General features: G+C 33.5%; 6 annotated features.

Moving 5' to 3' along the window:
* Positions 13,116–14,415: a meiotic recombination region, noted in NCBI's record as "crossovers mapped in sperm cells of males of European ancestry". NCBI's record gives the evidence for it as "EXISTENCE:DNA detection assay evidence [ECO:0005519][PMID:18650392]".
* Positions 13,116–15,318: part of a biological region, named in NCBI's record as "meiotic recombination hotspot A", that runs on past the window's edge.
* Positions 13,245–14,289: a meiotic recombination region, noted in NCBI's record as "meiotic double-strand break mapped by DNA meiotic recombinase 1 chromatin immunoprecipitation followed by single-stranded DNA enrichment and sequencing in the germ cells of some male individuals with the PRDM9 A/A genotype". NCBI's record gives the evidence for it as "EXISTENCE:chromatin immunoprecipitation-seq evidence [ECO:0000229][PMID:25395542]".
* Positions 13,432–15,318: part of a meiotic recombination region, noted in NCBI's record as "this region was identified as a recombination hotspot within the HapMap YRI population", that runs on past the window's edge. NCBI's record gives the evidence for it as "EXISTENCE:nucleotide sequencing assay evidence [ECO:0000219][PMID:20981099]".
* Positions 13,432–15,318: part of a meiotic recombination region, noted in NCBI's record as "this region was identified as a recombination hotspot within the HapMap CEU population", that runs on past the window's edge. NCBI's record gives the evidence for it as "EXISTENCE:nucleotide sequencing assay evidence [ECO:0000219][PMID:18650392]".
* Positions 13,776–13,788: a nucleotide motif, noted in NCBI's record as "nucleotide motif; similarity to the predicted 13-mer PRDM9 A binding motif (LD hotspot motif), CCNCCNTNNCCNC".

Raw genomic sequence — 15,318 nt, 5'->3', positions numbered from 1 at the left:
GACTACTAATAGGACTCATGATGGTGCTGATGAAATAATAAATGATTATACTTCTCCATTAAACATATATGGCCAAATTGGAATGAGTTCATGAGTTTACTTCTAGTGTACATAGAAATATATTTCTGTGCAAAGATTAGTGTTGTATTTCATTTATTTTATTTTCTTCACATAACTAGTTATGTTCAATCTTCTTTACAGCAATTGATGTCATTGAATCCAAGCATATTTACTTTTCTTATCCTTAATAAGATTCTTATTTTCAAATTCTTAATAATATATAGTTGAAGTAATATGACCACTTTGGAGACATAATGTCGACAAGTTCTAATTTTTGAAAATTATGTTGACCTTCCAAGCCCCAAGTGTATCATTTTTATACAATGAGAGCTAATTTCCTAAATAATATCCAACTGGCCTTTTTGGAACACAACTTCCAAAAGTGTTTCTTAGTCTCCCTGGTATAGTTTACACAGTGGGAAATACAGTTAACTATGTCACAAACTGCATTATTGGATAGAGCACAATGGTTGCAATTATATTTGTGGTTGTTTTAAATTAAGTAATTCTAATAGAAGTGTATCTCTAATAATACAGTTAAATTTGCATGCTGATTTGTAATATTAAAAGAACGTTTTCCAATTTCATAAGTTTTACCAAAAATGTTTGTGTTCATCTACAAACCAATTTTAAGACCACCTTTAGGATACAAATGAGTGTCAGAAGGGATAGTCCATATCAGAGCAAATTTCTTTAGTGCACACAGAATGATTTTCATCATCTCCTATTGCTTTCTAAGGCCCTTTTCCACTTCTGCAAACCAATATTTTGTATTTTTAAAGCTTGAACAGCAAATGGAACATATTATTTAGTCCAATAAAATTATATTCAGGCAAAATCCTACTTGTCTTGCATAATCAGCTATTTCAACTTTCTTACAGAAATTTTTGTATAGAAATCATTCCCTTTGCAATGAAGAAAAAACTCTGATTTATCCAACTAATAGGGAAAGCATACTCAAATAAACAGCATATTATGCACAATATGTTAGCATAATATCACAAACATATTAGCCTAGTTTTTCCCCAATGCACTAGTAAATAGGTATTCTGCTTATAAATGAAGAAAGTCTTCCTTGTCTTCTCTTCTATATCGATTTTATTCTCACACATAAACTAAAATAACATATGCTTTTTCAGGGTTATACTCCTAATTAAAACCAGTATTTAGAAATTTGTAATAATTAATCTTTACAATTTAATTAATATTTTATTGCCATAAGAAATATCCTTGGAACACAATTAAATGCCCATAATTCGATATGAGATTTGGAGATGAGTATGTTCAGAAGCTTTCCCCCACATGCTTAGTTTAAAAAATTCCACACACGTTTTTCTTCTCACAACTTCATCTGGGAAATATGACTTCATTATAAAAGTATGAATTTGTCATGATGAGTTTATCAAAGGATAAATATGCATCATGCTATGTAAGATGAACCAATGCTTCTCAATAAGGGTCACCTGAAGATCCTGTTTAAAGTGTAGATTCTGATTCAACAGGCCTGGCCTGGATGGGAAATAAAATTGTGCATTTTTAGCAATGTTCTCAAGTCAGGCCAACGGTGGTCTAGCTATATGTACATGAAGTGTGTGTGTGTGTGTATGTGTGTGTCTGTGTGTGTATGTGTGTGAATCCCTGCTCCATTGCCTTATGTATATTACATATTATATACAAAGCAACATTTAGTCCATAGATGCTTAACATCATTAAATACCCTTAATTTTTTTATTTAATCAACTAATCAGAATTCTTACAAATGGAATTTTAATAACAAGAAATATTTTTCCATTATTGAAGTCAGTTTGAAGTGGCATAAAGCCATGATATAATAAAATCCAAATTTCACACTAGGAAGATGTTACTTAATGTTTTATAGTTAAATAACAATAGCCATACACTCTATTATAAATTTGAAGTAACAAGTTTATATTTAGTAACCTAAAACTATTTTTCACTAGAGCTCAAATTTCTGTTAGCAGCTCTGCATTAAAAAAAAAAAAAACTTTTGTTATTTTTACCTTAATTAGCTTATGTTATTAGCAGGAGATCTAAATGGAAGATAAATACTGAATTTGTAGCATACTATGATATATAAATTTCTGAAGCAGGTCAAACAGTAATGATGAGCAAAAGCAAGATTTCTTCGGCATTTGGGGAAATCAAATTGGGTAGGGTAAAAGTTTTATGTTGGTGGAATATCTATAATTTGAATATGTTGATGAGGGAAATATAAAATGATAGGACATGAAAAACTCACAGAATAAGTACATAAACACATTAGGTATGTGTATCTATTACATGTACACATATAGACAAAAAGTTATCCTAATAACTAATATCTATAGAAAATACTATATATATCCAAAACTATACCAAGAACTCTATGTGAATTGTCTCATTGACTTTTCAAATGGCTGTTGAAATCAGTACAGTACTATATATACATGTTTTGTAAATGTAGGTAGTCATGTTTTATAAATTAAGGTAGTAAACTCACTTGTGTACCACAACACACCTACTAAAAGCTGGACTGGAGATGGGATTGGAAATAATTTTAATTTTTCTTATTTCTCATCCCTGAACAACAAAGATAATTCCATGTATCGGGGAATTTTTTTCATTAGACAGCAACATTTTGCTGCCCAATTTTATAATGGTCATAATGATGTTAGGCTGTGTTAGTGTAAAATGAATTTTAAAACCTCAGTGGTCCAACACTGAAAAATAATGTATCCCTCGATAATAAAATATTCAGATAGGCAAGTGGCTCCCCTTAATGGCATGTGGAACATTTGTTTTCCAAAGTTGATGTGACAGTGGAAGAGAAAAATGAAAACAGTTGACTGGCTCTGAGCTACAGTTGACTGGCTCTGAGCTGCGTTGGCTTGGAACAAAAACACGAATCACTACCACTCACACTCCTTAGGCCAGAAGAATGTTTACAATTTTAATCCAACAGCAAGGGAGAATGGAAAATACCAGGCAACATGTACATAGCTGGTGAGTGTGATTTCTCCCACACAGTGTTGACGCAGATTTTTAAATCTTACAGGCATTTCATATTATATGTCATTTGTTTTAGATTGGGTTCACCCTAAAGCAGATAACTAAGACAAGGAATTAAGTATGAGTAGTTTATTCAGGCAGTGAATCCAGGAATCACCAGTAGGGGAATTGGGAGTTTAAACAGGTAAGGGATGAAAGGAAAACAAAGCTTCAACTATAAAGCAAGTCACAATTGTGGAATACTACAGCTTACTTCTGCCTGGGAACTCTGGGAATCAGCATGAAACACAGGCCTCAAAATCAGCAACAGAAAGCTCAAGGAAATGAACCACTTCAGTGCTTCTGTGCAGCACTGGCTAAGGACATTAGTTCCCTGGTCCTTCTAGCCTGCCCCACGTACAAGATTGAGGGTTCCATTAGTAAGAAAAATCTCCTTGACAGAGAGAAAGAGACACTGCTTTTGGAAGTTATGGGAAATGAAAATATAGGCAGAGAATCTAGCATGAATATATACACATATACAATAAAATGCCCTAAATTATAAACACACACACACACACACACACACATATATGTATACATGCATACATAAAATGTATTTCAATAAATATATATATACACAACAAAAATATAATTTATTATATGAATAATTACATTTCCTTTCAGATCAGAAATCATCTGCACTCAAGATAAGTTTAGTCTCAAAGCCCCAGTTGAGATCATCGCCATACTTATTGCATGAACTTCAGGAAGTTCAGGAAATGGCATAGTTTGAGTTGCACACTCTCTAATTCTCACATCATGAGTACTGCTACAGAACTTTAAGCCGAACATTTGAGGATCAACTTTTGTAGGTGAAAAAGAGCATCTTGGAAGATATGAGTTGTATGAGCTGTGCTGTCTCTGAATGGGGTATATAGTTGTGTTATTGCCTGCACCTCTACCTTTTAAGTTACTTTTCTTTCAAACAAAAAAACAAAAGTGCTATTATTTTGCCCTACTCAGTGATGAGTACAAAGAATGCACTGGTAAATGTGAACTAAATGAAATTGAATTAAAAGGAGGAAAATTAAATGTGTTATGTCATTTTAATAAAAAAGTTAATCATGTATATACTGTTAATCTCTCTTTAAAATTATGAAATTATAAGTTACCATGCATATTATATTTTTAAACTAGTTTCATTTCATCTGTTCTAAATATATAGTACATTATCAAATGTGTTTTATTACTCTTTTTTATTCTATTATTTGAAATGCTTTTAACTCTAATTAGTTAACATTCTGCATATACTAATTTGAAAACAGATATAGCCTCCAATTTATGTCGTTAGAAGAAAGAGAAACATTTAAAGAAATTACTATATGCATCTCCAGATTTTTTACAACTTTCTTCAAAGCCCTAAATGATTTGGCTGTAGGATAACTGCAGTATCATATCTTGCCTCTTGACCTCTGCTTACTCCTCCTTACTGGCTCATTTTCTTCTCAGATATGTTAGCAATGCAACAAACTCAGCCTTTGCATTTGCTGATTTCACTGAAACCATCTCTCCAGACATGTGCAATGTTCCCTCAATATATTCAGGACTCTTCTAAAACATCAAATCATCAAACATGCCTTTCCAGAGCACCCTACCTAGCAAGAAACCCTGATTTACTCTGCCTTTGTTCTGTCTTATTTTCTTAAAAATGTGTATCATTCTTGAGAAAGTACACATATTTAGTTTCTTGGGAATGTGTATCTCTTATCCCCAGTTAGAGTGTAATCTTCATGAGGGTGGGGTCTTTACCTTAGTCACTGTAAAATTTCCAGTGTTTAGAACCTTGAAATACAGGACATATTCAACTGATATTTGCGTAAGTAATAAATGGAAGAAATAGATTAAGTAGTCTTAATAAAAATGTAAGTAAGACCTAAAGTAATTACAACATGAAATAATTACCTTCAACACAAATCATGTGAACTATAATATTATGTATGATGGCTATGATTTTTGTAGGCCATATTTGAGTTGATTGATTTGTTCCTTTCAAAAGCCCAAGGAGTTGGGTTTTATTATTACTCCTGCATTGTAGAGGGACAATAGTTATTAGCTATGTTCCAGATTCAGTTTATACAGATAGATAGGTTCACTGTTTTATCCAACACTTTTGTGTACGAATTTGGCAAAACAGTTGTTTAACTAGCTGATATATTTTTTGAAACACAATAGAGAAAACTCAATATCAGGAAATTGGTTCAGGGTTTTTATTTTTTGTTTTGTTTTGTTTTGTGGAGCTTCTTAGTGATGGTAGTGAGGTTTTTGGTTTTGAACTTATTAGAAGTAAAATTAACATATTATAGTAATAGGAGGTAGCAAACAAGATGCTTTATGTGGTACGTAGGATCTTAGGAAAACATGGGACAACCAGAAAGAGAAATGCTGAAGCCATTTATTGTTATGAAGCGGCATGTAAAACACTGATTTAGGCTTACCATCAGGGAGAATAATGTGTCATCATCCTCAAGTCCTTGCGATGCTGAGCGTCTCCTCCAGCAATTCTGTTTGGTAGCATGATTTCTTCATGCCCAGACTATCTACTGCCTTAGATAGAACCATAGGCCAAGTTTTGTTACATGAAGTATGATAGTGAATCAAGAGTAATCCAGGTCAAATATATATTATCCAGTCTACCTCGTCCCAAACCAATATCTGATCTGTCACATTAGGTTCTATTCCATTGGTTTATGTGAGCTTAATAAGTAGTTTAGACATTTTCTTACTTACATTTTCTCATGGATTTCCAAAAATCCATGAGATTGAGTTTTGATTAGCAGGATTGATTGTAGATTATCTGAATGTTCCATAATGTGTGTGTGTTTGTATGTGTGCATGTGTGCACATGGTTTCCTGGAAACTGAGACCTAATTGCTTGTTATAAGAAAAGGATACTAGAAATAAAAGAGATTTTTAAAAGGGGAAAAAAAGGCATTGAAGATGGACTGTTTATATGGGGTGATACAGAATAAAAAAAAAAAACTAATTGTCTGTGATTCCAAAGAAACACAGATTCACTATCGTAATTGTAGCTAGGTATATAATGCAATTTTTCTATTTCCCTCTGTTTTTTCTTTCTTAGAGACTTCTCTGGGCAAAATCGGCCTCCATTGATCTGAAATATCAATACATCAGGTGTGTAAAGTGATGGGTGATAGGGGAAAGTAGAAGTAGAATAAATTAGTGGCCTTGAAACCTAGATCTTTGTTAAAATCATTTTTGAGAACTTAAAAAATGTAGATCAAGTGGACACATTATGAAAACTGGGACCCACTATCCTCGCTACCATTTCCCATCTTAGTATAAGGGAGGTTGCTGGCATAAATCGATACAGTTAACCAGCTCCGCAGATTGTTACAGCGATCGATCAGGATGGGAACAACTTCCATCATGAGGCTTCGTCCCACGCACAGTCTCATTCTTTTCTCCATTGGCTGTGGTGAGAATAAAATAGCTACTTTCCCTTGACAATGATTCTCACCTATGTGTGCAGCTATAGCCAGAAAGAATGTGTTCTCAGCACTCTTTCTTCCATAGCTAAAGGCTGCAAAACACAAAATTGCCTTGAGAGCCTTTGTTGAAGTAACCTTAATCTGATAATAGCCCAGGTCCTTTCTACCTGCAGTTTTCTGGCAGGCTGGGGATGTGTGGCATTACTTTAAGTTGTATTTCAGGGTTTCTGGGAATAATTTATTTCAGGGTATATTTCTGCCAATCCCTTCACTCTGTCTTTAGTCTTCCCATTTAACTCCATCTTCTACATAGCTGCTTTACTGTGCCTTACCAATTGAGCATCAACTATGCGATCAGTATCACTAAATGTGATTAATATGTGACATTGGCAAAGTGGTTCTGTTCTTTGTCTTGCTGTTGCTGAATCTGTCTTAATGTCAATACTTTGCATGAATGATAACGAAGATGATGAAATGGCATTAAAAATGGCAGTTGTACTAGATCTGAGTCTTAGAGCTTTGATGCCATTATTAATATATACACTTAATTTAAATAGGAATCAACACTAAAAGCCCAGACTTCGCCAGTATGCAATATATCCATGTAAGAAAACTGCACTTGTACCCCTTACATCTATAAAAATAAAAAATAAATAAAGGAGTAAATAAGCAAATGGAAATCAAGTAGTATAGCTGTATCACAAAATTTACCCTTGTCTCGTTCGGTTTGGTTTGTTTATTTAGAGTTAAATATATTTCAATAGAACAGGGAAAAGTACTCAGTGATTATTTTAAGATTATAATTATAATTTCCTGTGAAAATTCCAGCTTAGTGTTCCATTTCTCTCTTGCTTGTTGGTGACATCGGACTTATTTTACATGGTGACCCAAAGCATATCACTGAATCTGCAAATCAATTCAAAACTATTATAATTTACTTGTGCAACTGTCTTATGTTTTCTGTTAATGATCCAGATGGCAACAAGAACTTGTGAAGCAAATAATACAACATAATTTAGACAAAAATATACATGAGCATATTTATGTCTGATATTGAAAAATGAACATTGTATGATGTATTGTGATACAACTCAAACTTTTGGAAACAAGTTCCAAACTTTTGGATCTAGTTGTTGGATCTACATTCTCATTGGTAATATGGTGACAATAAAAGCTACCTTTCAACGATGTTTTAAAACCTAGGGAAAATATCTCTAGAGTATGTGGCTCATAACTTATACATAATCAATTCAAATCATAAAATTTTTATTATTACATCCTTAAAGTCAAAATAATGAAATTATCACAATAATAATCACCTTTCTATATATATGGATAAGATTTTGTTATAATTAAAATGACTTAAAGACTTCAGGTTTTGGGAGGCAAATTTTTTTCTCATAGATATTTTCTAGAAACTTGACCTACTGCTTAATCATGAGCACAGGCATAACCTACACCTTATACTTATTTACTGTTTGAACAGTGTAATTATACTAAGGTTGTGGGGGTTTTTTTCGTTTTTCTTTAAGGTATTTCCTTGCTTATCTGTTAAGTTTCTGCTGGCCATTTAGCAGTTCCAGATGGCATGATTTCCTGTGGTCTGAATTCTTGCACATAGTGCACTGTTTTAGTTCTCCTCATTTGTGACCCACATCATGAACAGGCTCCACTGCTAAATATGATGAAGAGCTAGCAGGCCATTGACAAATGTCACCTGTACTAAAACCTTGAAATGTTTTCTTCAGACTTCTTTGACTGCGGCGTATGTACATTCACCATATGAGAAGAGGAAAACAACATTCAATTTCAGTAGAGTAGGAATCAATTCATTTATACTCCAAAAGAAACATTCAAATTATAATCCATAATAGCTGTTCTATTATAGATGAGAGTGGAGTGTGTTCTCATAAAATGGTAAAGAACTGGTTGATAAGAGGTCACCCTAAAATGTTCTTGAACCTCTTTCCTGATATTTTCCTGCATTATGTCTCTCTGTTAGTCCTGCAGGAAAAATTACCTAGAGTAGTGTATAAGGTTCCTTTGTGTTAAGTCCATGCATGACAGCTTTCACATATTTGTTTCACCTGAGATAATGTCTATAGCTATTTACATATTACTGCTTCTTGGTTATCATTAGAGGACACAAAGCAAGGATATTTACTTTAAAAGGTGACAAAGATAAATCACTGGTTGAAACGGAAGTGTGCACTTTGGGGTGGAAATATAACCAAGTCAGTAATTTTTAAAGGAGAAATTTAGATTTTATTACAAAGTGTTTAAAAAAACTAAAGCTTCAAATTTCATATTGTTGGTACTGGGGTGATGCCTAGGAGTTAAAGATAAATCTTTAGATAATTCAACAAAATGCATGCCAATTTCTTGTTTATAAACTGAGTCTGACAAAATTGGGTAAAATTAAACTTTAGCTATGTTGGTAAATTTAGTGATAAATGATGCTGATTAATCTAAAATCTACCATTTTATTCGCATATGCTATTTGATAGTATGTACACATTTGTCCTCATGGCCAATCTTCTTCATAAATGTCTATTTGATTAATTCATTCATTATCTCAACATAGACAAATGTATTCTAGGAACTATGAGACACACAGGAAATATAACAAAGAATGTGTTCATATTGAGGAAATATACAAGTTAAACAGTCAATTAAAATATAGAAGAATGTTCTGAGGAGTAAGCCATACACTTTATACTGTAAGTTAAAAATCTAGAACTTCAAAACTTTGTATTCCCCCAAACACACACACAAACACAGACACACACACAGACACACAAACAAGTATATTTTGTATGCTTCCTTTAGGAGTTAAAATTTACATATGAGATAAGAGCAAAAAATAAAATAAAATCAGCTATTGAGAACAGACCTAAGTAAACATATTAAGAATTGTAATTTATATGAAGTGTTTCTATAAGAATTATATGTAAAAAAGGTCTGGAGCAGCTAATTTCTAAGACGCTTTTTTTTTTGGAAGAGGGTTGTCTTAATCTATTTTTGCTGCTATAACAGAATACTTGAGTCTGGGTAATTTAAAAATAATACAAATTTCTTTTTCATGATTCTAGAGGCTTGGAAGTCCAAAACCAAGGTGTCAACAGGTTCGGTGCCTGGTGAGGGATGTTTTCTGCTTCCCAGATGATACCTTATTGCTGTGTCCTCATGTGGAGGAAGAGCAAGATAGAATGAGGGAAGGAAAAAAGGTGGTCCAAGCTTTTGCTTTTATAATGAATCCAGTCCCATGATAACTGCATTAACCCATTCATGAGGGTGCCTCATGCATGGCCTAATCACCTCTTAAAGGTCCTTCCTCTTAATACTGTAACAATGGCAATTAAATTTCAGCATAAGTTTTGGAGGTGAAAAACATTTAAATCATAGCAAAGGCATAATATTTTAAATTCTGCCCCAGGACATAGGGAACACACACACACATGCACACACGCACATACACACATGCATGCATACACATACCACTTTTGAATCTTTTTGTGTCTCTTCTTCCTCCTAGTACTTAGTACTGACAATTAACTTCAGGCCAGGCAAAAAAAAAAATAAGACAATCTTTATTTCTGTTTTCTGAATATTGCCCTAACCCATCTTCCGTTCCTCCAAATACTGCACTATTCTCTGTGGCTTCTCTAAACATTCCGACACATTGTAAATAGTCTGAATATTAAATTCTCCGCAACATTCTCAATGTGAATGCAGCATGTGTTTAACTATGGTATCCTGACTGACTTAGAGGAAAATGTTCTATTTTATATGCTCAGAAAGTAAGCTCATCCTCATCAACATCTCTTAAAGAGCACTTCTTATCATGTTATTTTGGTTCAAGACATTCCCTTTTATTAAGTTTAGTAAGCTAGAATTTTAGCAACGTGTTCATTTTGTCTTTTCCCTCACTCCCAGCAGGTGAATGCTGTAATCCTCAACAGCTCTCCAACTTTTGATTTGCTATCATCTGGCTTTTGATCTATTGCTATACTCTTATTTTATTCTATTTCAAGAGGTGACCCTCATCACAATGAAGGCTTTGGGGGTTCCCTTGCTCAGTTTTTTCAATCATGGGCCAACCCCATCCACAACTCCTACACAATCTTAGCTCCAGAGACTGCAGTTAGTTAGGGAGACCCATTTCCTATGCAGCCTATTATGCACACGCTACTGGTCTGGAAAAATAATTCAGCATGTGTGTTTTTAACAGCATACTTACTGATGAAATTCTAAGCCTGTCCTATGAGGGACCATCAGTGTCATTGTAATAAGCCTGTCCTGTATCTCAAAAGCAATTAATTATTAAAAATAGTTTCTTATTCTTCCAATCAGCTCAAGGTAAAGGGGATAAAGATTTTAGTCCTAGTCAATTCAGATTCATTAATGGACCTTTCCTGAGGTTGTTGAATGATTCATGACTAATAATACTTTCTGGAACTTTTCTGAGCTACCATCACAACCAGAAGGCCAAGATCATTTTCTAATGGGAATTATACGAAAGTAGTTGTGGAGGCTTTAATCAGAGATCAGAGTCCAAAACACCTACATCTAACGCAGTGCAGGTGCCGCATTCCATATGCTGCTTGCAATGGTCTGAATGTTTGCATGCCCCTTAAACAATTATGTTGAAACCTAATCCCCAATGTGATAGTATTAAGAGGTGAGGCCTCTGGGAAGTGATTAGGTCATGAAGGCAGAGTCCTCATGAATGAGATTAGTGCCCTTGTAATAGAGACCCAGTGGAATTTGTTTGCTTTCCACCACGTAAAGATGCAGCAAGAAGGGGGGTCTTTGCCAGGCACCAAATGTACCTACACCTTGCTCTTAGACTTTTGAGTCCCCGGAATGGTGAGAAATAGATTCCTGTTGTTTATAAACTACCCAGGAGAAGGTATTTTGTTATAACAGCTTGGATGAAAGCACTTGGCTTTTAGGTATTATCTCTGCTAAAATGGCTAAGCTGAAGGTCTGTCTCCCAAAGACAATTTCTTGAATATTGTATATTCCTACCAGGTTCAGAGTTTAGGCCTACCTGAAGTCTCTCCTGCATTAGTTCTACTTACTGCCCCTAAAAATCACACAAAAACAAAATAACTTCATTATCTCCTGTGTTTAGAACATAATTTGTAAACAATATGTTTGCATAAGGGTGAAGAGTTAAAAATAATAACAGAGAAATTGTGTGAAAAAAAAGAGGTAAGACTGCAAATGATAAACCCTAAAACATATTTATGACACTGGCAGTTTTTAACACATTTGTCTCTGTTTAGTAAATTTCACTCCATCATATTGCTTTTATTTCAGAAACATCAACATGAATATTATCACCTAGTCAATGTTAATGTCCTAGGAGACTATATAACAGACCTACGGTTCACTACCTACCGGAATTTTTTTTAGTATAAATAAAATGAAACAAAAAAGAAAATAGGCCATCAATATGATAATTTTTGTTTTTAATAAAAACTGCTCTAATTCAAGAGCATTTGACTACTTGCAACCAGGGGAACTAAAAACTATGGAACCCTTTAATAACCCCATGTCAAATATTAAAAGAATGTAAAATGATCTGATTTTTATTTATAAACATTTGGCACATTTCTACTCTACAGCCACAAAATCATAATATCGAATATGATGTTTTTATAAATTGTACCTTTAAACTTGCCCTAAATTTTTAATGGAATTTATTACCAAGATTTCTCAGTACTTTCATACCTAAAAATGTTAAAATGTTCATCATCCCAGTAATTCATATAAAAATGAAATATAGATTTAGTTCAGTGAAATTGTACTCAGTTAAAAAAATCGGACTTCTTTTTACATTTTGCCATCTGGTTATGATATAAAAAACTTATTTTAATATTTTCCAAGGAATTTTAAAGCAATACTAATTTTGTCATTGTGTATTTGATTAATAGCTCTTTTGGGAAGGAATTACCCTAACAATTACTGTAGGTATTCAAGTAAGATTTTTCTAGTTCTATTTGAATATTGTGTTATGATAAATTTCTTTTACTCCCCTTCTTACTTTTATAAGAGGAATTATTTATCTTCAGAATTCATAAACATAAACCTCAAAATATGGTTCTATATAAATGATAAAATGGATTTCAAACTGTCTAAAGTGAAATGATTTGCTGTTCTAACTGGATTTCTACACTTGTAAAAATAAATAGATGCATTGTTTCTAATACGCTAACTATCCAAATACACACACACACACACACACACACACACACATATATATAAACACATATATACTACATATACATATATATAGTAGGAGAGTAGTTTTATTTTTCTTCAACATCCTTTTTATCTATAAGCTGACAATTAAAACCATATTTCTCTAGGCTTTGTTCTCATATTGAAATCCATGTTAAAACTCTAGCAGCACAAAGCCATGGCAACAAAACAAAGTGTCGAATATAAAAAAATTACTTTAACCAAAATAATCCCAACTGAAAATGCATTTGAGAACTCTGTTCCTACAATAGCTGTTATTAAAGGTTGAACTCTTACTGGGTTGGTATAAAATAAGTGAATAAAATATCATTTCAGTTTGAACATTTCATTATCTCCACTTAAATATTTCCCTCTTCTTGAAATTACCATTTTCTGAAATAAAATAAATGGTTTAATCTATTCATCTATATGGCAGGTAAAGTGAAATGTATTTCTGAAGTTTTGATTATCACAGAATTATAATATTTGTTGTCTTGCCACAAATATTAAAAGTATATGGTCCTCATGGCCCTGTGGAGTTTTTTGCAACATATTAATATTGTTAGATTATTTTCTATTACTGTTAAAAAGAAAACACTGGAAGAACTTATTTATGTTAATGCCTAACTCAATACCGTGTGTGATATATATAGAGAGAGACAGAGAGAGAGAGAGAAGTTGAGATATTTGCAACCCTAGATTCCTTACTTTACATCCAAATCTCTGGATCTACATTGCAAAGAGGCAAAATAACATTCCATTTTTGAAGCATCTTGTGAATGACGATGTGAATGCAGAGTGTGAATGAAGTTAGAACTTCAATCTTCTGAACCTTAGACTGGTGAAATTTGTTGTTTGTTTGTTTGTTTGTTTTGAGACAGAGTCTCACTTCTTCACCCAGGCTGGAGTGCAATGGCGCGATCTCGGTGCACTGCGGCCTCCACCTCCCAGGTTCAAGTAATTCTACCGCCTTGGCCTCCCCAGTACCTGGGATTACAGGCATGTGTCACTGTGCCCAGCTAATTTTTGTGTTTTTAGTAGAGAAGGGATTTCACCCCGTTGGTCAGGCTGGTCTCGAACTCCTGACCTCAAGTGATCCACATGCCTTGGCCTCCCAAAGTGCTGGGATTACAGGCATGAGTCACTGCGCCCAGCCTGTTTTTTGTTTGTTTGTTTTTATACACGTATATAGGAGAAAAGAAACCTAAAATTGAAGTTAAAAGACTCAAATTCCAGTCCCACTTCTGTTCTTTAATATATTTGTAACTGAAGCAGGTCTATTATATTTTGTGAATTTCAGCTTTCTCATTTACTTAGTGGGTATGTTAGTAATTATTTAGTGTTATGGATATCTGGTGGTTTAATATATATGAAACTGCTTTTAAACTGTTCTAATGACATTGAGAATCAATTGCTTCAATTTTATGAATGTTCTTCTATTGTATAGGTTTCTCACATACAGTTAAAAATATGGAAGTATTGCTCAGTGTCTTATTTAATTAATGACATTTTAATTTTAGATGTATCAGTGTAGCGGTAGCTCATGTGATCTATGTATATCTCAAAATCATATTAGTTTTCATAGGTTTAAAACTGAACTTTGTATTAAGATTTAAACACTATATCTTATTGGAGCTGGAATAGATAATATCCTGCTCCTTGACTTCTTTGCTTCTTCTTAAGCATTAGATTGCCAACTCAGCAAAATAAAAATTTATTCCTCTAAAGATGGAAACTTCTATGTCTATCTGTTTCAAAAGTATTACTCACTGTTATTATGGGTCTCCTTTAGGGATTCTGGGAAGTGTTAGATGAGAAAGATTTTCACTATCTCTTGTGCTCACAGTTTTAAACCTTCTGCTCCCTGAGTCCTGCCTCTGGAGATGTCATGCAAGCAAGAAACTCAGCCAAATTCATGCTCTGCAACCGAGCATGCAAAGCTATTCTCTGTGTGGAGTTCACACACCGTTGGTTTCTCCCTGTGGGTCTGTGTCAACACTGTGTTTCTTGTGGCATGATTAATTTGTTATTATAAAAATGAAATACAGAAAAAAATAGTTTCTCTAATGTGAAAAAAAAATGTTGCATACATCATGAAAATGAAATTGAGAAATAAGGCAAAATAAACTTCTGGTAGCAAGCAGTGAATGAGAGAAACAGCTGCAGCAAAGATGGCAATAAGAGAGAAAGCGTAATTAAACCAGATGTTGTAAAACATGCAATTTAAAATGATATACAACATTGATTTTAAATATAAATGTAAATAAAAGGGATGGATCAGAAGCATAATTAACACCAAAAGGAAACAAAAATAAACTTGGTAAAAAATAAATTAGAATGATACACCAAAATGGACTTTGCTCAGACAACAAAATATTCCTTAGTGAAGGGAGATTTTTCCTGATTTTTAAATTCAATGCTGCTCAATCAAATATGCATTTAGCAGTCTCAGTAGGCACTTCAATGATGATAAATTTCAGAGACAATAAAACAGGGAAAATGTGCTTTC

This window comes from Homo sapiens, chromosome 21 (genome assembly GCF_000001405.40).
Source record: "Homo sapiens chromosome 21, GRCh38.p14 Primary Assembly".
Lineage (NCBI taxonomy): Eukaryota > Metazoa > Chordata > Mammalia > Primates > Hominidae > Homo > Homo sapiens.
Note: the sequence above shows the minus strand (reverse complement) of the source record. Positions and strands in the feature narration are given on the sequence as shown.